Source organism: Homo sapiens, chromosome 8 (genome assembly GCF_000001405.40).
Source record: "Homo sapiens chromosome 8, GRCh38.p14 Primary Assembly".
NCBI lineage: Eukaryota > Metazoa > Chordata > Mammalia > Primates > Hominidae > Homo > Homo sapiens.
In genome coordinates, this window is record NC_000008.11 from 95,193,482 (window position 1) to 95,216,483 (window position 23,002).

At 48.6% G+C, this 23,002-nt stretch overlaps 1 long non-coding RNA gene across 1 annotated transcript, besides 2 other annotated features; it reads right to left on the reverse strand.

Annotated features, from left to right (window-relative positions):
- Positions 1-13,525: 13,525 nt before the first annotated feature.
- LINC01298 (long intergenic non-protein coding RNA 1298) lies at positions 13,526-22,893 on the reverse strand. Its single transcript, NR_046232.1, has 3 exons — positions 22,837-22,893; positions 14,938-15,097; positions 13,526-13,827 (listed from the first exon to the last, which is right to left on the reverse strand). It is a non-coding gene; the product is annotated as a long intergenic non-protein coding RNA 1298 (long non-coding RNA).
- Positions 19,384-19,443: an enhancer, noted in NCBI's record as "active region_27651". NCBI's record gives its function as "activates an Ori minimal core promoter by ATAC-STARR-seq in GM12878 lymphoblastoid cells {active_cell/tissue: GM12878}" and the evidence as "EXISTENCE:reporter gene assay evidence [ECO:0000049][PMID:35858748]".
- Positions 19,684-19,733: an enhancer, noted in NCBI's record as "active region_27652". NCBI's record gives its function as "activates an Ori minimal core promoter by ATAC-STARR-seq in GM12878 lymphoblastoid cells {active_cell/tissue: GM12878}" and the evidence as "EXISTENCE:reporter gene assay evidence [ECO:0000049][PMID:35858748]".
- Positions 22,894-23,002: the final 109 nt, after the last annotated feature.

Here is a 23,002-nt window from a genome sequence, read left to right on the forward strand (position 1 = left end):
GAGGGGTACCTACAAGCAGGAGCTGAGGAATTGTAGGAAGTCAGCTGGAGAGGGTATCGCCCATGCTGCTTACATCAGAGAATGGGGCACGCTGGGGATCCTCAGCAAGCAGGTCTCCAAAAATCCACAAAAATCCCCTCCTTGAGGGATAGGGAAAGAGCCTGCCCGGACAGTTACTGAACAACAGCCCCCCAAAGATATTCAAATTTTAATCCCAGAACCTCCGAATATACTGTTTTACCTGGCCAGAGGGACTTTGCTGATGTGTTTAAGTTAAAGATCTGGAGGTGAGAAAATCCTGAATGATCTGGGTGGTCCCAGTGCAGTCACAGGGTTGCTATAAGAAAGAAGGGTTGTGATAAGAGAGTCACAGGTTGCTATAAGATATGAGGATGGAGGCAGAAGTCAGAGAGGAGAGAAGATGCTAAGCTGCTGGCTTAGAAGATAGAGAAGGGATTACAAGCCAAGGAACGCAGGTGCCTTCTAGAAGCTGAAAAAAGCAAGGCAAGGGATTCTCCCCCGGAGCCTCTGGAAGGAATGTGTAGCCCTGCTTACCTATTTCAGACTTCTGACCTCCAGAACTACAAGAAAACAAATGTGTGTTATTTTATGCATCTGAGTTTGAAACAATTCATTCCAGCAGCCATGGGAAATGAATCCACCTGCCCTGCTCTGGAGGCAGCCAGCAGCTGAGGAGCGCTGCTAGAGAAAACACAGGATGCCCAAGTAGTGCATGGGACATTCTTATACTAAAAGAGTATTTGTTGTTTATCTGACATTCCAATTTAACTTGACATCCTTTAATTTTTTTTTTTTTTTGGCAAAATCTGGTAACTCGAAGCCAGAAGAGAGAAGAAAACCAACCAACTTATTTAAAGAACACTTTTATCCTTTGTTTTACATCTCTCCTCCCTGCCCTGAACCTGGAGAGCCTGAAGCAGGTGGTAAACATGTGAGGAGGAGTAGAAATGTGGGGAGAGACAAAGAAGAGACCGTGACCCTCCTCACGGCAGGTTTTTGCACTCCGGGTCAGGCGTGGAGGTAGAAAATAGGGGAAGATGAAGGAGAGGGAATAAAACCTGCATGGGCCAAGCGATTCAAGTTTTCATTTAGATTGGCCTGCAAATTTTAATATCTAAAAATAAACATCATTGGTTAATATCTGAAAATGACCAAAATGTTTTGGGATCTTATCAAGATATCAAGCCAGCTGGGGAAGAGAAAACCGAGAGGGAAGGTCTGAAAGGCAGGGTGAGAGGAAAGGTAAAGGCAATACCCAGTTATACAACCAGGAGTCCAGAATGGTCAATAAGCCAGTTACCAGTTCTTACGCATCCGTGCTGTGTCCTCTGTTGAAGTGGATGCATCATTTCTGGGAAGAGTGACACGCACATCTTACCATGCCATCATTTTACTGTATTACTTTTTTTCTGTGCCAGGGAGGATGGCTGGGCACCACAGTGAGGGTGGAGGGCACCTCAAGAATAAGGACCACGTATGAAGTTGATGACCTCTGGGGGCCTGGGCATCTCTTGAGACTGGACCTGAGCAGCTTGGTGAACCAATCCCAAATTCTACCATCAAAAAGAAAAATATGGGGTGCTCTCAAAGTTATGTGCCTGGAGCCCTCTGGACAGCTTCCGGGAAAACTTCCCAAAGCAAAGCTTTCACCAGAATTGCACATGACCACGATCACACTGGCCACAGGGAACTGCTGAGAATGTCTCTCTCCACCTGGTTTTCTTGACCTCAGCAAATGTGAATGGCTTCTATCTGTCTGACTCACCCTAAGCCTGACCTATTTGTGAAATGCTTTCTCTACAAAAAAGCTGAAGATAATGCAGAGAATTATACATTTATAATCCCAGTAGAGACGGGGTTGCCTAACCCTCTCATTTCAGCTGCTCCCTGCCTTGCCAGTGCTAGATGCAAGCTGACCAAATGTTGGTGAGTGTCTAATGGCCTAACTTATTTGCTCCAGTGGTAATTACCAGGAAGGGAGGGGATGGAGGAAGGGAAGAGGGAGGCAAAGGGCCAGGCAGCCAATTAGGGGAGGGTGAGGGGATCCCAGAGATCTATGTCTAATTCTGCGTCTGCTTCTTGGTACACCCAGGAACTTCTACGGGATGAATGAACCACCTGTGAGGTATTAGCACAGCGGGGAGTTGGCTTGGTGTAGTGGGAAGAGCCAGGCCTTCTCACTCAGTCAGATCTGGGTTAGGATTTTTTTTTCTGCCATCTTCCTTGCTGTGTGCTGGTGGCTTTTCCACTCTATCTTCCTCATAGAGATCTGGCCTCATGCTCTCAGACTTCATATAAGAATAAATAAAATACTACATGCAAAAGGAATAATATTATATACTGCCAAACACTCTACAAAATATACTGAAAGTGCTTGGAGAGCTTTAAATAGGGTTTCTGAAAATTTGCCTTTTGCATGGGTGGTAGGAAGAGAGGAAGTCGAGTTAATTCCAAATGGTGGCTGATGCTGACTTGGTTTTGATGGACTGAACCAGCCAGATCCTCCAACCCGCCCGGACTCTGCTTCTACTTCGCTCCCTGTCAGGATTTGGGTGTGGGAGCCCAGTGGGCCCCATGCCAATCTGGGTCATAACTAGAACTGCCAGTACTAATCATGCAGAGCTGCTGGTCTAGTTCTTATTTCTGCCCCTGCACCCATAGAAGAGGCAGTGCTCTTGGTCTGGGTGGAAACGGAGGCAAAGTGGACAGCACCTTACCCGCTCTGCCACGGCCACCTGCTGGCTGCCTTGGCCAGCAGTCACTGAGCTTGGAACCTTGAGGGGGGATTGGAGGTGACCTTGGGGCCATCTCAAAGGATACACCTGTTTCTGCTGCCAAGAGCAGCTACCTACAAGGGCAGGTATGGGTTTTTTCTGTTGCTGAGACGGGTTGTATCCCTCTCCTAAAGCTCCCCTCGGTTCCGTCTATAAAAGATGTAATATGGTGGCCGAGTTAAGCGCTTGGATTCTGCCACTGAACTTGTTTTCTTGGAGATCTGACTCGTTGCCATCAGCAACATGGGCGGGGTGGAGCTGGCTTTCTCTGCATCTGTTCTCCTCTACACCTGATGTTAACAGAATGCCTGGATTCCGGGGACTTCCAGGTCTAGCCGGGCCAGTTTAGACTGTGCCAGGGATCTGTAATTAGGCAAGCAGTTGGGTCAGAAAAATACACAGGCACTGGAGGACCTGACAAGGTGAGGAGGGAGAGCGGGGAGGCCCTGCCTCAGCCAGGAGTCTTCAATGTAGATGCTGCGTGCTGGGCTCTGGTATGGCCAGCACTGGGCCTACAGATGAGCTGCATTGGGGAAGTAAAAAGTGAAGAGACCGGCCGCATTGAGAAGCAGGACCAGAGCAAAGTGCATTGATTGACAAAGGCATCTCTCTGAAAACTTTAGAGAACAGTCTTTGAGAATGTTATGTCACTTTTGCTTATATCAACATGCAAAACTATAAAGCCATTTCATCTTTGTCTTTTGCTATGGTCAATAGCTAAAAATACCCCCAGCACTGGACAGGATGAGTACAGCATAGTGGCTAATTAAATATGCAAGTTTTAGAGCCAGACCACCTGGATTCGAAACCTAACTTTACTCCCTTCTCACTGGGTGACATGGAACAAGTCATATGGAACAACCGATTCGTGCCTCAGGTTTCTCTTATGGAAAATGGGGCTAATAATAGTATTCACATCGTAAGATTGTTGTAGTGAGAAGAAAATGTGAGTAATACATGTAAAGTGCTTAGAACAGGAATTGGCATGAATAAATGCTCAATAAGTTTTAGCTACTCTTGTTTTATGTCATTGTTTCAAGAGTATAACTTTTCTCCTTTCCTTCTGGTATCATGGATCTGATGAAAAATAGGTTGCAACCTGTATGTCAAGTTCAACCAATTGGTTGTAGCTACCTGGAGAGCTGTGTTGAGAAGGATTCTGAGGCTGCATCAACCTCATTTAAGGGGAAATTATATAGTGTCCTATGAGTAGTACTATGAGTAGCATCTCTGCTACTGGATATGGTAGTGGGGAGTGGTGGCATTGGTGCCACATCATTTCCATTCCTGTATTATAACTTGTCTTGTTGTAAGGTTTGTTTTTCCCTGTGTCTGTCTCAGCCCTCCCCTCCCCATCTGCCTTTGCCTCTGTAGGGCATCCTGGTCCGTGGATGGGCTTGGATGCCAAGAGCTGCTCTGTAAGAACCTTCTCAGATGATGATGATGATGATGATGATGATGATGATGATTCTGGAGAAAGCAAAGACCACATGGCCTGATACTGAGGATGCTGCTAGGCCGTGAAGCACCCACAGGATCCTTTGTGTGCCAATCAAGGGCACCCTTAGAGAAATCAGGAAACTCTTCGCTGAGCAGGTTAATCTTCATGACGCCCATGGTTCTGGAATCGGAACACTAATGATTAGCACAGAAACTTCCCCACAGCCTCAGTAATCATTGACTTATTAATCCATGCAGTTCAGGACCTTGTGCTGAGTTATCTCTATTTCCATTCATTGGTCAGTCTTTTCTGTCTGGACACAGGACCACTGTGGTCAGGTCATCCAGTGGCACCGCCATGGCCATCCGGGTTTGCTGAGTGCCATTCTGCTAACTTTTGTGAGCTGTGCTCTGTCTTGAGTCTGACACCTGATTTGAATATCTGGCTTTACCAATTACTATCCTTATCATTTGGGTAAGTTGTTTAAACTCTCAAAGCCTCACTTTCCTTGTCTATAAAATGGGAGGAATAACAGTTCCACCTCATCAGGTTGCCGTGAGGCCTAATGAAAGAATGCATTGTAAGTGCTTGGTATGTGCCTCGCCCATATTAAGCATGCCAAAAGCGACAGCTCTTGTTTTCCTAACTCAATCAGAAAGCTCGTTAAGTGATATGACATAAAAATAATGGTTCATATGTGTATGGCACTTTCACATTCATTGTGCTGGGCATAGAGCAAATGCTCAATGAGGATTAGCTACGATTATTATCATTAAAAACAACATTGACAGTGACAGCTCTACTTAAGCTGCTAGGAAGGGTGAGATAATCACCCAAGTCCTAGACTAGGCTTCTTAATCTGGTGCCCATGGACCTGTTGGTGATCTGGGGATAGAATTTATGGGGTTTGTGACCTTGGATGAGAAAAAAAATTAGACCTTTATTTCCAATAACCTCTAACTGAAATTTAGAATTAATTTCAATTGTGAATGTAGGAAACAAAATACATCACCTGTGATGTTGACACTAATATACATCTACATCTTTTTTTCTTTTTTTTTTTTTGAGACAGAGTTTCACTCTGTCACCCAGGCTGGAGTGGTGCAGTGGCACCATCTTGGCTTACTGTAACTTCTGCCTCCTGGGTTCAAGCGATTCTCCTGCCTCAGCCTCCTGAGTATTTGGATTTACAGGTGCCCATGACCATGCCCTACTAATTTTTGTGTTTTTAGTAGAGACTGGGTTCTACCATGTTGGCCAGGCTGGTCTCGAACTCCTGACCTCAAGTGATTTCCCTGCCTTGGCCTCCCAAAGTGCCGGTATTACAGGTGTGAGCCACCATGCCTGGTTTAAATCTGCATCTCTTTATAGTTGTTGCAGATATCTTGAAATATTGGGTGTTTGTTGCTACTTCAAAATTATGGTAGATAGTAAATCTCTACTATAACTCATTATTTAATATCTTAATAAAGAAGCACATATTTTGATACTTACATTTCAATATAACTGGTTTTTTTGAATACTATATATTTTATTTTGTGCATTTAATAATCATCTTCAGAAAAGTCCACAGCTTCACCAGACTGCCAAAGGCATCCGCGGCACAAAAAGAGTTAAGAAGTTACAGAGTGCAAGGCTGTCCCCAGGATCACCTCACTTCTGATGCCAATTATCTGTTGAGGGGTGGTGGGAGTGGGAGGGGATCAGGTCTGGCCACCCTCAGATCTGATAAATCAGCAGGAGGACTTACCAACTGAAAGCTGTTACACTTATAGTTTCAGTGGAAGGAATGGGCCAAAGGAAGAAATGCATGGAGCAGAAAGTCCCGAAAGGGAAGCTTCTAGTTGTCCTCTCCCAGTAGACTCATGGGCAGCACCAACTTTTCCTGGCCAGGATATGTGACAGTACATGTGGAGTACTGCCACCCAAGGAGCCTCACCCGAGCCTTTGTGTACAGAGTTTTTACTGGGTCTCAGACAGGTAGACATGGTGGACTACTTGTGTGACTGACCTTTAATCTCCAGCCCTTCTGGAGGTCGAGCTGATACTATGTGGCTCAAAGCCCCCAACATAAATCACGCTGTTAGGCTATTCAATGTGGTTCAAGACTGCCCAGGCAAACAAAGACACTCTTATCAGGCAGGACATCCCCAGGGCTTAGAGGTACCTCCCAGGAACCTCTGGACATCTCTGGATAAGGCCAATTCTTTACTACACAGTACCCTACTCTTGAAACTGCCACAGAGCTGCACACTTGGAGCAGCTGGAGGTAGGTGAGAGGGTGGAAGAATTAGCTAACACATAGTTGTAGCCACTGAAACACAATTTAGTGGAAGATTTCTTTTTGTACCTGCAAAGACAGCATAGAGTTCATTGCTTTCAGAGGCAACTGAGTAGTTCCAGGTTAAAAATATCACTTGGCCTGGGTTTAGCACCTAACACTTTTCAGTGTATTTCCATCTGTTGTCTCATTTAATCCTCAAAAGAGGTGGAAAGAAGGGGTGTTGTTAAGCCTGGCCTGGAGGTTGGGGCTCACCAGGGTCATGGGATGAGGGAGCAGGGGCAGCATGTGGAGGGTCCTGGCTACTTCCCTCACCCTGCCACACCCTGACTCCTCCTCCCAGGTTGTTCAGACAGAGCGAGTCCTGTGGTCAAGAAGATCAGCAGATATTTTGCAGAATCAGGTATCTGGTAATGCCAGGGTTGTGCAGGGAGCTTAAGCAGCTTTGGAGATGACCTGTTGTGGAGTACACCACACTGGGCGATTACATGAGGTCACTGCCCACCTGATGTGACCAACTTACTTGTGGGAAAGCAGGCTGTTTGCTGGAGTCTCTGAGGTCCAACATGTTTTGATTCATCTGAAGCAAGCCTTCACCCAGGGTCATGACCTCACCCTGAAGTTTGGTGTAAATTCCATGCAATCTCTGTGTAAACATTGGAAAGCCACTCTTTCAGGGCGCTTTCCTTTAGGGGCCTTCCCTGGGGGGTTAGGCCATTTCTGTGGGGCTGCAGCTGCAATGGCAATGGCTGTACCTGGTTCCTCTGCAGGAGGCTGAACCCCCTGAAGGGGAAGAAAGGCAGTGTGTCTGGGACTCTGCCCACTCCCTCTGACCTGTACTGTTCCCTCAGGCTTTCTGGGGTGCAGCTGGGATCTAGATAGCCTTGTGTTTTCTCTGAAGGTGACATCTGTCTTCACAAGTGCATTTGTATATAATTTGTACAGGAATTGGCACTATTTTATGGAGGTCTGTGTGGTTTTTTTAGCTGCCATTTTTGCTTCCTGCTTACCTGTGATGCTCGTCCATAATTATTGGAAGCACCACTCTTTCAGGCAGTTATCTGACTGGGCTGCAGCTCCATGGAGCAGGGCCTGCCCTGTCCTGTTCACAGCTGCATCTTGCCGCCTATGACAGTGCCTGGCATGTACAGCACTTGCTAAATGTTTGTTGAATGAATAAATAGAAAAGAATCTTATGAGGCTACTCACTGACTTAGTTTCCTGTGGCTCCTGTAACATATTACTGTAAACCTGGTGGCTTATAACAGCAGGCATTTCTTCTCTTACAGTTCCGAAGGCTGGAAGTCCACAATCAGTGTCACTGGCTGAAATCAAGGTGCTGGCAGGCTGCGCTCCCTCTGGAGGCTCTAGGGGAGAATCCATGTCTTCCAGCCTCTGACGGCTGCAGCGTTTCTTGGCTGTGGTCGCAGTCTCTGCCCCCGTGGTCACATCACCTTCTCCTCTCCTGTGTGTGCCTCCGCCTTATTAGGGCCACCTGGATAATCCAGGATCATCTCCTCATTTCAGAATCCTGGATCCGGTAGCAAAGTGCCCCTCCCTCTTTTCTGTATCGGTGGCAGCCACAGGGAGTGGGGATCAGGAGGTGGCTATCTGCCACACTCACGAAGGGGATGGAAACCTGAAGGGAGCTGGTCACTCCCTCACTGAGGAGCCTGGTTGGGGAGAAGACACGTGGTCCTAAACACTTCTAATTCAGGGAGAGGTGTCGACGAGGACTCCAGTTCATAGGGAAAGCTGTCATGCCCATGGGTGGGAGCCTCCATTACTATGGAAAGTCTAAGAACCACTTCCTTTTGCCCTTAGAGCCCATTCCTCAGCAGACCTCCACTCGCGTCGCCAAAGCAGATCCCAGACTTGACTCTCATGTTGTAGTGGCACATGGAGGAGCAGGGAGCCCATCCTCACTAGGGCCCGGGTTCGAGGGCCCCCTGGGCATTCTGATGGGCACCCCATCTCCTCCTGAACAGTGCTGATTAGTCACTCTCCCATGGGGAGGGCAGGGGTTAGTGGAAGAAGCAGAACAACTTGCTGGGAGATAAGGGAAGATCATTTTAAAAGGTCAGATGCCACATAAGGAAAGGTCAGGTAAGAAGGAGCCTCAGGCTGGCAGCCTACAAAACGTGGTAAATTTTGCTTTTTAAATTCCCCGGGACCTGAAGCTGCTGCACCTGTCTTCTGTCTCCAAGCAGATCGTGAAAAAGAAAGATCAAAGAAAATGGAAAGGGGCTGGGTGTCTGCATATAGTAGGCTTGTCTATACACACGCCCACTCCACATCACCCTCTTAATGGAACTCCCCTGCCCGCAGTGGTTCCAAATACCTTTTTGGCTTATTGTTCTAGGGACCTGTATACTGTAGGCCCCTCTTATCCATGCAGGATAGGTTCCAAGACCCCTAGCAGATGCCTGAAACTTCCAAGAGTACTGAACCCTATATATACTGTACCATGTTTTTTCTTTTCTTTTCTTTTTTTTAATAGAGATAGGGCCTCACTGTGTTGCCCAGGCTGGTCTCGAGATCCTCCCACCTTGGCCTTCCAAAGTATTGGGATTACGGGCGTGAGCCACTGCACCCGGCCTACTATGTTTTTTTGATTTGACAGTGATGCTGGCTACTAAGTGCCTCACAGGCAGGTAGAATCTATGGTGTGGAGATGCTGGGCAAAGGGACCATTCACATCCTGGGCAAGACGCAGTGGGACAGCACGAGATTTCATCACAGTACTCAGAATGGTGCAAAATTTAAAACTTATAAGTTATTTCTTTCTGGAATGTTCCATTTAATATTTTCAAACTACAGCTGACCACAGGTAACTGGAACCTCAAAAAGTGGATAAGAGGGGATATCCTTCAGATATTCTCGTAAGTTGCCCTGATGTCATCATTGCTTTGATCGGGTATCCTAGACCACCCAGGTAAAGAGTGCCCAGGTACAGGCGGGAGTACAGCAGAGTATAATTCCAGGACCTCTCGGCTCAAGTCCTGTTAATACCCAGCTGGTGTGGGGGTTGGGTAGGTACAGAGTCTGCATTTTCCTTCCTGCAGGGCTTAACTGTCTCCAGCCTGGATGGGCTGCCCTCCCTGGTAGTCTCACCTCTGCCTCCTAGGGGCCCTGGGCAGAATCTTTGTCTATTTTGCCTCCCTTTTATCTGATTCATCACCTGTGGGCACCAAGAGCTATTGTGGAATATTGGGCAGAGTCCTGCGTGACGATTCAGGTGGCCTTGGGTGAACTTCTGCTTTGGATCGCTGAGTTTTCACAGATCAGAAGGCATCTCTGGGCCTCCTCCATCTGCTGGTCTGAAGTGGGGGAAAACGGGGTGATCAACAAGCCTCTTTCCAGTGGTGGCACTCCGGGCCTCTGTGGTGCTGGGATTGGCTCAACCAAAAACCCAGCCTGGATCCTGAAGCCCAGGCTTTATTCTGCCTGTATCTGTGGCCCTCCTTTAAAGTGCCGGGATGAGCTGGTTTGGTGGCACATGGCTCTGTGTCAAATATGTGAAAGAGCAGCCTGGACCTCGCATTTTCAGAGAGGAGAGGACAGGCCGTCTTTGGCACACTCGAGTGGGCAGGGGCCAGGTGGTGGGGCTGAGGAAGGGGTGCAGGGGTGGAGTGGGGTAGGGGGGTCCAGAAAGATCCAGCATCCTCCCATCTGCAGCTCTCTCATGGGGTGGATCTGCATGTCCTTTTGCTGGGCAGAGGAGCCTGAAGGGATGTATCAGCAGGTGGCTGTCTGTCTAATTCACGCTATAACACCATACCATAGACTGGGTGGCTTAAACAATAGACGTTCACTTCTCACAATTCTGGAGCATGGGATTCCAAGATCAGGGTGCCAGCATGGTTGAGTTCTGGGGAAGGCTGTCTTCTCAGCTTGCAGACAGCCGACTGCTCACTGTCTATTCACATGGGGACAGAGAGGTCACCTCTCTTATGTCTTTTCTTATAAGGGCACTAATCCCATTTGTGAAGTCTCCACCCTCATGACCTAATCACCTCCCAAAGGCCACACCTCCTAATACCTTTGCAGTGGGGATTAGGGATTCAACATATGAATTTGGGGCGGTGGGGAGGGCCACCAACATAGCACTGTCCTTGAGGGGTCAGTGGTGGCAGTGTCACTCCTGCTGCCCATGAGGCCAGATGCCTGCTGGGGAGTCTGGGCATGAACACGAGGTGGGGAAAGGGAGTTCCATCCCAACCCCTTCCCTGAGGATAAGCTTGCCTGGACAGAGAGCCTCCCAGTTTACAAGTGTAAGGTATATGGATGTGCTTTGGTCAAGAACAGGCCGAGGTGGATATCCAGGCCTGCATGACTCAGTGAGTTTAGAGTGCAGGCATATAACTCCACTTGTTATCACAGCCATGTAGCCATGTGGCCCGATGCCACTATTGTCTGTAAAAGCTATAATTGCCCTGCTGACTCTGTACAGGTGCACTTGCACCCAGAGAAAGAGAGAGAGAGCCAGAGCTGTCGGTCTTTGCAGATGGACAGGGGGAGCCAGGACACAGCTCAGCCTACTCATGCCCAGAGAGAGAAAGAGTTCAGCTGCTGACCCTGAAGGCAAGGGAGAGCTGGCCACGCAGGTGTGTGTGGGAGCTGGCTGCTGAGAGGAGCCGCCGAGCTGGAGCAGGCAGCCAAAATAAAGGTGAACAGTGTAAACGAGCTAGTGTAAGCTGCTGATGAGAGAGCTGCTGAATAAAATTACATTTCACCTGCCTACAGCACCCCGAGTGTTCTTTCAGCTATCTGCTCATCCATCCCCTCTTTTCGGACCTCAGCTGGGACTGGACCCCAACCCTGAGCATAACAACAAGTGATACTTTTGTTAGGTCCATTTTCACTTCATCAGAAATGTCCTGAGCTCTCCCTGGGCACTGTCCTGTGGCTGGTAAGAGGCAGAGGTGAGTCAGATGTGAAGCCCACTCTCTAGGGGTTCCTCCTCGTAGGGCAGATGGGCAGGTGAACCCGGTACGAGGAGCCCAACAAGTTAGGTGTGTACAAGGTTCAGACTTGTCATCTTGACATTTCCCAGATGTACCACGTTCCTTCCCACTTCAAGGCCTTGCCACATGCTGTTCCCTCTGCCTGAACCCCTTTCTCCCCTTCCTCTGATAAACTCCTAGTTATACTTCAGGTGCTCCTGAAAGTCTTCCCCGAGGCCCTTCCCTTCATTATGCCAATTGCTGTTGTTCGACAATCTTAGAAACCTGTGTTTCCTTTTCCTCTCCCTCCTGCAGGGCAGGAACCGTGTCAGTCTTGTTCCTTGTTGTAACCCAGTGCCGGGCACATGGTAAGTACTCGGGAAATGTTTATTGAATGAATGAAGAAAGCTGTTGCACAGAGGAGTCACTGGTTCACTCTAGAAGTGGGGGAATCTGGGAGGATTTTCTGGAGGAGGTGATGACTAAGCCAGGTGTTGAAGGAAGAATAGAAGTTTGCAGGGCATACCAGGCAGTGGAAACAGCATGCACAAAGACTCAGAGAGGTGGCGTCTTATGGAAGCTCACTGTTGTTGGAATGCAGAGTGAGGGGACAAGGGGTGAGGCGAAGGTGTGGCCAAGGCATGACCTGCTCATGGAAGGTCCAGTGGATGTCTTCAGAAGCTGGGGGATGTGGGTAAGGAGGGGCATAATGTGACCTGTGGTTTGGAAATATTGTTCTGGTGGCTGTGTAAAGTGGCCGGTGAGAGGCTGCTGTGATGCAGCAGGAGAGACATGATGAGGCTCCAACCCATGCACTGTATAAGGATAGGGAGGATGGGTGAGTTCGAGATTTCAGCCTTGAGTCCCAGGGCTTGATGACTAGTTTGATGTGGTAGAAGGAGTAGTCAAGAGTGGAAGGTGATTCCACTAACACAAACTACAGACACAAGAGAGAGGAAGAACAACTTTGAGAAAGTTGGGAAGGGAAAGGCGGTTCTGTTTTAGACACATTGAGTTTGAGGATCTCTTGGGGCTTCATGTCAGAAGCAGATAGTTTTACATTTGGCACCAAAGCTCAAGAGAGAGGTAAGAGCAGGAGATATAGATTTGGACTTCTGGACATATACAGTCATGTGCCACATAACAACATTTTACTGAACGACAGATTGCATATGGTCCCATAGGATGATTCTACCATATTTTTACGGTACCATTTCTATGTTTATCTCCATTTAGATACACAAAAACTTACCACTGTGTTAAAGTTGCCTACGGTATTCAGTGCAGTAACGTGTTGTACAGGTTTGTAGCCTAGGAACAATAGACTACATCACACAGCCTAGTGTGTAGTTGGCTAGAACATCTAGGTCTGTGTAAATTCACTCTATGATGTTCATACAGCAATGAAATCACCTAACAACTCATCTCTCAGAATGTATCCCCATTGCTGTCATTCAGGATTATACATGGAAATTAAAGTGATAGGGGTGAATGAGACTGCCAGGGAGAGGGTATGGAGTAAGACCAGAAAAAGTCTGGGCATAAAACACTCAAGGAAATAAAAATTCAGGGTACCTTCAGAGAAAGAGGACACCAAGAAAAAATGATCAGAGTCGCAGAGGCACCAGGAAGAGAAGTTGTCACGGAGACTGCTGCAGGGTCCTTGGGTTGCCTGCCCAACGCTTGTCCCTCTTTCCTCCTTCCCAACAGGTATCTGTTCTCCTTGACATAAGTGTATGGATGTTCCCACCCCAGAGAGCGAATCCTCATAATGGAAGCCAAAGGTGGTCGTTCCATTCTTCTTGCCAGGGACTGGCTTAGGAATAGACATGTGACCCATTAGGACCAAGGAAGCACGAAAGGGGGCATTCTTCTAGAGGGCTTCTGCGAAAGGTTTCCTTATTCTTAAGACAGAGGCGAGGATGAGATGATTCTATTTTATCTCTAGCCTTCATTGAGACTGCATGTAATATTTGACACAGTGGCAGCTATCTTGTGGCCATAAGGAAAATTAGTTTAAGGGTCAAATCAACACCCCAAAGACGGCAGAGAGGAGACAGGGGAAGAACTGGGGTCTTTTATGACATTGCTGATCCAGGGGCCCTAAATGCAATCACAGAGCAGAGAGAAATTTGATGCACACAGAAGAAATGAAGTCAGTGTGACCATGGAGGCAGAAATTGGAGTATTGTGGCCACAAGCCAAGGTGTGCCATCAGCCACCAGCAATTGGAAGAGGCGAGGAATAGATTCTCCCCTGGAGCCTCCGGAGGGAGGGCAGCCCACTGACACCTTGACTTCTGCCCAGCATTTCCTCTGCCTTTCTGATCCAGGAGGTCAAGAAGGGTCCTCAGTGCTCCTGTGCCTGTGGCAGAAATGGTAGGAAGAGGCTGAGCTGCACGGGAGTTGGACAAAAGAGGACTTTACAAAATGGCCTATAGGCTGGGCGCGGTGGCTCACGCCTGTAATCCCAGCACTTTGGGAGGCCGAGGCGGGCGGATCACAAGGTCAGGAGATCGAGACCATCTTGGCTAACACGGTGAAACCCCGTCTCTACTAAAAATACAAAAAATTAGCCGGGCGCGGTGGCGGGCGCCTGTAGTCCCAGCTACTCGGGAGGCTGAGGCAGGAGAATGGCGTGAACCTGGGAGGCGGAGCTTGCAGTGAGCCAAGATTGTGCCACTGCAATCCGGCCTGGGCTAAAGAGCGGGACTCCGTCTCAAAAAAAAAAAAATGGCCTATAGAATTCCAGGAGTCAGAAATTGAGTCATCCATCCAGGAATCTTTATTATGCACCTGCTTTGTGTCACACCTGCTGGGAATACAGTTATAATTAGACCAGAATCAGCTTTGGGCCTCAAAGAACGAGTGGAAAGGGCTTTCCCCAGAGGGAGCTGGCAGCTCTGAAAGACGCTTATTGACGATGGGGGTGGATTCATGTTGTCCAGGTACTGAGCTGGGGACGCAGCTGTTGGGGTGCAGGAATTCCCCAGCCCATCCTGCTGGCCCTGCTAAGAGACAGGCCTGGGCAGGAGGAGACTGGAATCTCCAAAGCAGATGTGAGGAGGGAGCTAGCCCAAGGTCAGGTGTTGGCTCAAGTTTCTCCTGTAGTCAACACAAGGGCAGTGGAGGAACCTGGCCTGGAGTCTAGCCTGACCTGGAAGAAAGTTCATGGGCTGAAGTGTGAAGCTGCCAAGCTCCAGGGGCCTCAGAGACCTGCAGCCGAGGGTGTGTGTGTGTGGGGGAGGGGGGGGGGCGGGGGGACTGGAAATAGCAGGCCAGAGAGCTGCCAGCCCTTTCCAGGGACAGCACTCTTTCAGGCTAGAGAGGAGCCATGATTGCAGTCACTGCTGGGCCCTGGAAGATGGTGGAGTCCCTGAGGGTCAGAGGAGCTTCCAGGCCTCTCCACCCTTGGTGGGCATGCGGTGTGGCCTGGACCTTGGACCTTGGACCTTGGTTTTTATGTGATTCTCACCTGGGGATGGGAATGGTATGTGACCTCTTCCCAAGGCCCTCCATGGCACACTGGAGCTGAGAACTCCTGCTTGACACGCTGAGTAAGCAGGCAGGGGACCACGACGGCATTTTTCTTCAACCTCATGGAAGAAACAGAGCTCAGGGAAGAGGGAGGGGGTCTTGTCAGGAAGAGAAAGGAAAGTGGGGAGTGGCGTCCTTAGCCAGGACCCAAGGTTGAGGATACCAGTCAGCACCCAGCGATCAGAACATTCCACCACATTCCTCAGGAAGAGAAGCCGCTGTTCTCTTTTTGTTTGTTTGTGGGGGCAAAGGGGATGGCACTTTGAAAGTCAGACATGGTGAAGGCAGCCACAGCTTTGGGGGTGCCAGGTGGCTCTCTGTCTCTCTTCTCTCCTCTGTTTCTCTCTTTCTTCTTGCCCCTCTCTTCCCCTTCCCTTCTTTCTCTCTTCTCCCTCCATCTTTCCTTTTCTCACTGTGTGTCTCCTTGACATCGGGTCTCTATTTCTGTCTACCACTCACATCTGTGTCTCTGCTTTTCTCTCTCTCTCTCTCTTGCTGTCTCTCATACAGAGCCTGGCTTTATTCCTATTACCTCAGCTGAAGGGCCAGGACACCTCAGGAAGCACCTGTGCTCCGGCCCTGCCCAAGCACTTTTTCCATGTTCTCCTTTACACTTCCTCATGCATCCCTTCTTTTAACACGTGCTCACAATGTCATCCGTGCCTTTCAAGTCCCCTCACATATTTTCATCCGTTTTTATCAGCAAATATACAGGCATCTTCCTGGTGCCCCCCTGTCCCATCCTGTTGGCCCAGACCCAGGCTGACAGAAGTTTCAGCTCCTTGGGGCCTGCTGGGGATGGGCGATAGGTAGGTGGTGCCCGCAGAGATCGGGCTCCTCACCCTCAATTCCTGAGAAACCACTGAAACAGGAGAGGGGCATTACAGCACCCTCGGCTCTCAGCCTCCTGGGGCTGCTCCCTCCTGAGGCCAGGACCCAGGATGAGAGCACCCAGGTAAAGGCTGCAGAGCTCCCCAATAGCATACGGTTTAGAGGGAGAGCCTGGGGCCTGATCTCTGACCGGGACCTCTGGCGAATCATGTAATCTTTTTGAGCCTCGGGTTCTTTCTTTAAAACCTGGAAAATTGGTATTTTGTTTGCTCTATTGCACAAAGCGTTACCCAAAATGGGTATTTTGAGTAAAAAATACCCATTTTGTACTCAAAATACCCATTTTGGGAACAAAGCGTGCCTTAATGTATAAATTCAATCCTGCAACAACCTCACTACTAGGCAATATTATCATCTCTGTGAGGAAATGGAGGTTTAGAGAGGTGAAGTCACTCATCCAAGTTTGCTCAGCTGATAAGCGGCAGAGCTGGGTTTCAAACCCGACAGTCTGGCCCCAGGCCCTACACCCTTATGGTTGAGTGTTTTCCTGATGGTCTGTGAAATGCTCTCTTCTTCCACTTTTCTGGGATGGCCTGGGAGAACACAGTTGGTGCCCCTCTCCGGGTACCTCTGAGAAACTGTATTTCCAGGTCTGGCTCTATGGACAAGTGCCCACAGCATGGTTGTCCAGTCTGCAGAAGTGATAGTCCAGGTGCTGAGAGCACGTGGCCACCTCCACCTGGGTCTTCTGAGGGACACAGGGTCACTGAGTGGAGGGAAGGCTCTGATCCAGGGCTGCAGTAACCATCTGTGTTTTCCCCTAAGTCTCCTCAGGCTTTGTTGCCACAATACATTTATTTTTGGAGAATTAGCACCCCCAGTTCAGCACACTGGACCTCTTATTTGCCAGCTGCTTTCTCTCTTGTTTCTGTTTAACTATGGTGTGTATTGACTTTGCTGCTGCTATCTTTGTTTCACCTCTGAAAAGAATATTTGAGTGGCAAGTACTGTTTATTCTCTTATTTCTTCAACAAATATGACTTCCATGCACAGGACACTGTGCTGATTACTCTGGGGGATATGAAAAATGAAACTGGTGTGGCCTTTGCCCTCAGGAATCTTATAGTTCACTAGGGACACACTAACATGCACGGAGGTCACTGTGATACCATGTGGAGTGTGGTGAGAGCATTAGCACCAAACACGCACGTCGGGACTTCAGACAGAGCTCTTAGGGAAGCTTCCCAGAGGAAATGATGTCTAAATAACTAAGTTAAAGTGCAGAGACCCCAAAAACACAGTGATTTATATAAGATCAATCTTAAAATATAATTGTATTTCTCTCTCCTGTGACGGTGCGGATGTAGGTGGCAGTTGAGGCTGCTGGGATAGCTCAGCTCCACAAGGTCATTCGGGGACTCAGTTCTGCTCTATCTTGTTACTTTGCTCCGGTGTTCCACAGGGTGTTGGCCTCATCTCTACGGCTAAAACTTGGTCATTGCCACATTAGTGTTCCAGCTTATGGGCTGGGCGGAGAGGATGGAGGAATATACAACAGGTGCTTTAGGGCCCAGACCCAGAAGTGGCTCACATATCCTGTTGGCCAGAACTTGGTCATTTAGCCACATCTAATTACAAAGGAGATGGGGAAATGTAGTCAATAGCCAGGTGGCCAAGTGCCCAGCCAAAAATTTAATGTGGACGAAACAGATAACAGGGATTATTATCTCCATGACTCTATCACAATGAGTTGGACCTTGGCATATAAATAGAGCCTTGCTAAGTAAAAATTAGAATGAGAGGGCATTCAGGTGCCTTCCAGAAAATGTCAGAGGTAAGGAAAAGTGCAAGATGTATTTAGAGAAAGTGAATATCCAGCATAACTGAAGTGTAGGGTTTCTGTAAAGGAGGTTGTGACCTACATACAGGTGGAGATAGGGCAGGCCTCATCTCTTTAACAGGCTGCTCAGCCTTCCAAATAGAATGTAACCATGCCACCTGTACACCTGCTATCCCAAACACTTGATTCTTCTTTAACCAACCACACAGGATGTATGTTCTCTGAGCCCTACTCAGGAAATTTAACCTTGAGCTGATAGTGATCTAGATCCTATCAAAATCTTGGCTTCCTAAGGGTATGCTATTTGACTACTTTTTTTAAGCAATGATTCTTGTATGTATTGATGCTGATCCCAGAAAGTTCTATGAAGGACTACATTAGCCCAGTCTCCTAGCAGAAGCCCTTCACCATGTTGAGTTTCATGTTAAGCTCTTGGAAGAGATGGCCACACGAAGAACACTTTGGTATGTTCCAACAAAACATTATTGAGGATGTTGCTCACATTTTGTTCATGGTATAACATGGTATTTTTAAATAAAAATCAACCACAGGCTCTATATCTTGCGACATCCTGTTGCTTTGTCCTTGGCATTCAAGACTAAACAAACATTTATCAAGGCACTGGCTATTGACAGATACTGGGCCAGGTGCTTGGTGGGAATATAGAGAGAAGAGACACAGTCCCTAACTTCCAAGAGCTCACAGTCTGGGGCAGGGGATGCGAATATGTGGCTTGTGAGGCAGACAGATAAGTAATAGGCATTTATGACATAATTTGGTAAATGTTGTGTGAAGCACAGAAAAAGATGCTATAATAGCCTGGAGAGAGAAGGCGAGGAAGGCCTTCTGAAGGAGCTAAGTCTTGGAGGTTGAATAAGGGTCAATAACATTAATCATGAGGAATGGATAAAACAATGTTCTAGGCAAAGGCAACAGCTTAGCAAAGTCATGCAGAAATGAGAGAGGGTGGGGCTCAGTGTGGCTGTGGTTTAGGGGGAGGAGGGGGGATTCAGCTGGAGGGATAGGCTGGGCTAGTCACAGGGGCCTTGCAGCCCTGCTGAGGAATTTGGGCTTTTGCCCACAGGCTCTATACCATCCTGGCAGATGATCAGATCCATATCTTAGAAATGTCAGTCTTGTCAACATAAGTTAGGGACTGGACTAAGAAGGGAAGCTGTTGCAATATGTCAGGTGAGAAATGATGTGGCCTTAAACATGTGAAGACAAGGTGGACATAAGGAGGTGGAAAGAGGTTGGAGGAATATTAAGGAAGAAGAATCAATAGCACTTGGTGACTGATTTGGGGGTAAAGGAGAAGGAGAAGGTGATGGGACAGTGAGGTGTTTGGACTGGCAGTGTTACTCCTTTAGAACCAGCTGACAGGGGAAGGAGCAGGTGAGGGGTGGGGGATGAGGTGCTTGACTGTGGAGGTGGGCCAGGCAGTCAGATATGCAGGAGGAAGATAAAGATTTTGGAGTTTCCAGTGTGCAGGTGCAGGTTAAAGATAAGGAGTGTGTCCAAAGCCAGTGAATACTGAATGACACACCTGCGGTGTTGTCAGATGCTTTTTATTCCACATAAGAAGTTGATGCAATGGCTACTGTGGGCCTGGAGCTTTCACACTCACTTATTTAGCCTGCTCCATAAAGCTGTGAGGAAGAATGCATTTACTTATTGATGCTTGGCTGGAGAAAGGATTTAAGCCTGTAGGTATTATCACTAGGCTGATTTTACAGTGAGGTTCAGAGAAGTGAAATGAGTGGTAGCAGGCCAGGTTGCACAGAAGATGGTGGAGGGGGATTGAAGGGCAGGCCTTTGCAGCCTGGTCTATACCACAACTGCCTTTTGTGATGTGGGTGCCCTTTGAGCAGGAGAGGCATAGCTGCTGGTAGCACATGCTGCTCACAGGGGACTACATGAGTCGGTGGGGCAAGGGCACCTGACCATGGCCTTGGCTCCCGTGCATGCACTGGGTTCTGACTCTGGCACAACCCTGGGCATACTCAGCTCGGTGAGCTGGTTTGGTGCTCATTTTATCATCCTTTTGGTGCAGGAGGATTTCTGTCCCTCTTGGCCCTCCACATCCCCTGCTGTCCTCATGGCTGGAGAGGAGGCCTGCAATGAGGCAAAACTGACACCAAGGCAGGCCCATCCATGGTGAAAGCAGAGGTGTACTGGCATTAGGTGTTGAAAGATTTGCATGCGGAAGGGGTTGGGGAGAGGAAGTACTTAACCACTGATGTTGATTTAGTGCAAGGCTGGCACAGTGGGTTGAATTGTGTCCCCCCCCGCCCCCACCAAATATGTCCCAGTACCTGTGAATATGAGCTACTTCTGCAGATGTAGTTAAGAATCTCGAGATGAAATCATCTAGGATTTAGGGTGGTTCTAAATCCAGGGTCTCTCTGTTGCCCAGGCTGTGGCACCATCTCAGCTCACCACAGCCTCCACCTCCTGAGCTCAAGAGATCCTCCCGCCTTAGCCTCCCGAGCAGCTGGGACTACAGGTGTGCACCACCAGGCCTGGCTAATTTTTGTATTTTGTGTAGAGTTGGGGTTTCACCATGTTGCCCAGGCTGGTCTCAAACTCCTGGGCTCAAGGGATCTGCCCACCTCAGCCTCCCAAAGTGCTGGGATTACAGACATGAGCCACCGCACCCAGCCTGAATCTACTGCCTTTATAAGAGAAAGAAGAGGGAACTGTGACACATGGGGAAGATGGCCATGGGAAAATGGGGACAGAGATTGGGGTGATACAGCCACGAATCTAGGAATGCCTAGGGTTCCCAGGAGCTGGAAAAGGCAAGGAATCTTCTCCCCTAGAGGCTTTGGAGGGAGTGTGGCCCTGCTAACACCTTGATTTCGGCTCAGTGATGCTAATTTTGGACTTCTGGCTTCCAGAACCATGACAGAATAAATTTCTGTGGTTGGAAACCACCAAGTTTGTGGTAATTTGTTGCCGCAGCCCCAGGGAATGAACACAGCTGGCAAACATGTGGCAGGCAAGTGCCTCCTACACCTAAGGAGGATGCCAATAATCACCCTCAGTATCCCTTCTGGGGAACCCGGCACCACCCTTGATCCTGCCCACAGAGCCCTCTGGCAGCTGCTGCCACATGACTGGAGCTGTCACACTCCATGCTGTGATTTAGTGCTCACCAGGTCCCTAACACTGGACTTGGCTCAGGCAGCTCAGAAAAGGGTCTGGCAGGGCCACTGTTCTCAAGGGGCCTGGAGCCTTGGCCTGTGTGGGTGTGGGGCATGGCCATATCACCTCTGGAGCATGAACAGTGCCTGCCAGTCTCTGGACATCTGCTCAGGCCACCCAGCCTCAGCTCAGCAGCTGGGCTTTCTCCAGCTTTTGGGCTGTCCAGCTGCAGCTCAGCAGACAGCAGCATAGGACTTGTAACTTATTCACCTCGAGGTGAATAAGTTACCCACAGAGATTTAGGCAGAGAAAACTACCGTTTGAGCCAATAGGTTAAAGAAAACGCACCAGTGCCTGGATTTTGCCTTTAAATCCAGGGACAGCCTGGATTTAAAGGTCTATGGAATTCCTGAGGTGAATGCTTCCTGAAGCCATGGAGAAGGATGGCACAGAGCAAGTGTGACATGGGAGGTGTCACATGCTTCTCTTAAAGGAGAAGCAAAACTATCCGGATATGGGGAAAAGGACAAAATATCATACAGGATGCAGCCTCCCCTGCCCTCAAAGAGGGGTGCTTATCCTGATGGCGGGGGGCGGTTTCCTCACTCAGGACTTCCTCTTTCTTTTCTTCGGCGCAGTCCCCTCCAATTGCTTGCCTCAGAATCACTGGCTATAATTATACAAAAGTGGATTCCCGAACTGCCTCCCAGACAGACTGAGTTTGAATCTCTGTGGCTAGGACCTAGATATCTGCATTTTTAATAAGATCCCAGATGATGCTGATGTATCATCAGCTAAGAATTACTGGCCTAAAGGTGTTTCCAACACAGCCCACCATGCCAGTACAAAGCAGCTGTGCACACTTTTGGAAGGATCCCCATTTTCTCCTGGGGAACTGGCCTTGGGATATGACCAATAGCGCCCCATAGCTCTCAGAACAACCCTGTCCCCATGGGCCCTCGCGGGCAGGCTGAGCACAGCAATGTGGCACTCAGCGGCTGGCCTGGGATTTGTTGGAAATAGGTTTGCTGCTTCTCAGCCAAGTGGCCTGAAGCAAACGATTTAACCTGTCTTGATTTCCTCATCTGGAAAATGGGGACACCAATAGAACCAACAAAAAGTGTTGAGAGGACTGAATGCCAGCATGTGCATGAAATGCCTCATCGGTGCATAGTACAGCATTTGATAACTCAGAGCTTTTTCAAAAAGGTATGATGATGAAAACCTTATTCAGAAGAAAGAAAACTTCACAGAAATCATTATTACAAAGCCCAGCTGAAGCTCTCCTGCACATCAGACCCCTTCTGGGAAGTGTTTGGAAAACATCAGTCTAGTGGCCCCTCCCCAGTCTTATGCCTTCCCCATCCTTCCCTCCCATCTGTGAAAACAGAGGAATCTCTAGTGGGGGGTGTCTGAGTTTTTTGAAAAAGAGAAAGCTTTCCTCTGGTAAGAATCACCTGGGGGCACTTGAAGACACGGCCTGGCCTCTCTGGGAAATTCTGCTTTTGGTGTTGGAGATGGGTTCTTGGAATTTACATTTTTAATCAGGTACTTCTTAACTTTTCAGCAGTTAAGGAAGCACTGGTTTAAAGTGGGTTTAACCTTCTGTGGTTGAGAGAGGTTTTGGCGCCACCCTGACCAGCCAAGGCTGTCTCCCCTGTTATCCACAATTCCTTGTGGCAACACCACCTCTATCTAGGAGGGAAGTGTCACTTATGGTGTGGAGCCTGCTAGTTGTGTTTGGAGATTGCAAAGCACAGTCTTTGTCGGTCTGTGTATGTGTTCATGTAAGTGTGCACACACCCTCACACTTCTGAAAACTACCTCGATGATGGCAGGAAAAAAGAACTGGCTAAAATTGTAGAAGTTGAGAGCCAACACAGTGCTCAGAGGAACTTTAACGCTAAATAAAAACAAAGGATGAGGAGGGGTCCCATGGACAGACGGGGGGAACGGGAGACTCAGTTGAGAGTGGAGGCCCCTGACTGAAAGCCAGCAGTCCCCACGTGGAGCTCTCACCTTCTGGATGGCTCAGCCTGGCAGGCTGCTTCTGTTTGAGAATCCTGGGAGGCTCGCCCTTCCACATGTACTTTAAGCCTAGAGAAGTGTTGGGAGCTGTCCTGCCACTCGTGGGGCAAGGGGAGGACTGCTTAGCCAACCCTGGTGAGATGTGAGCTAGGGAGAG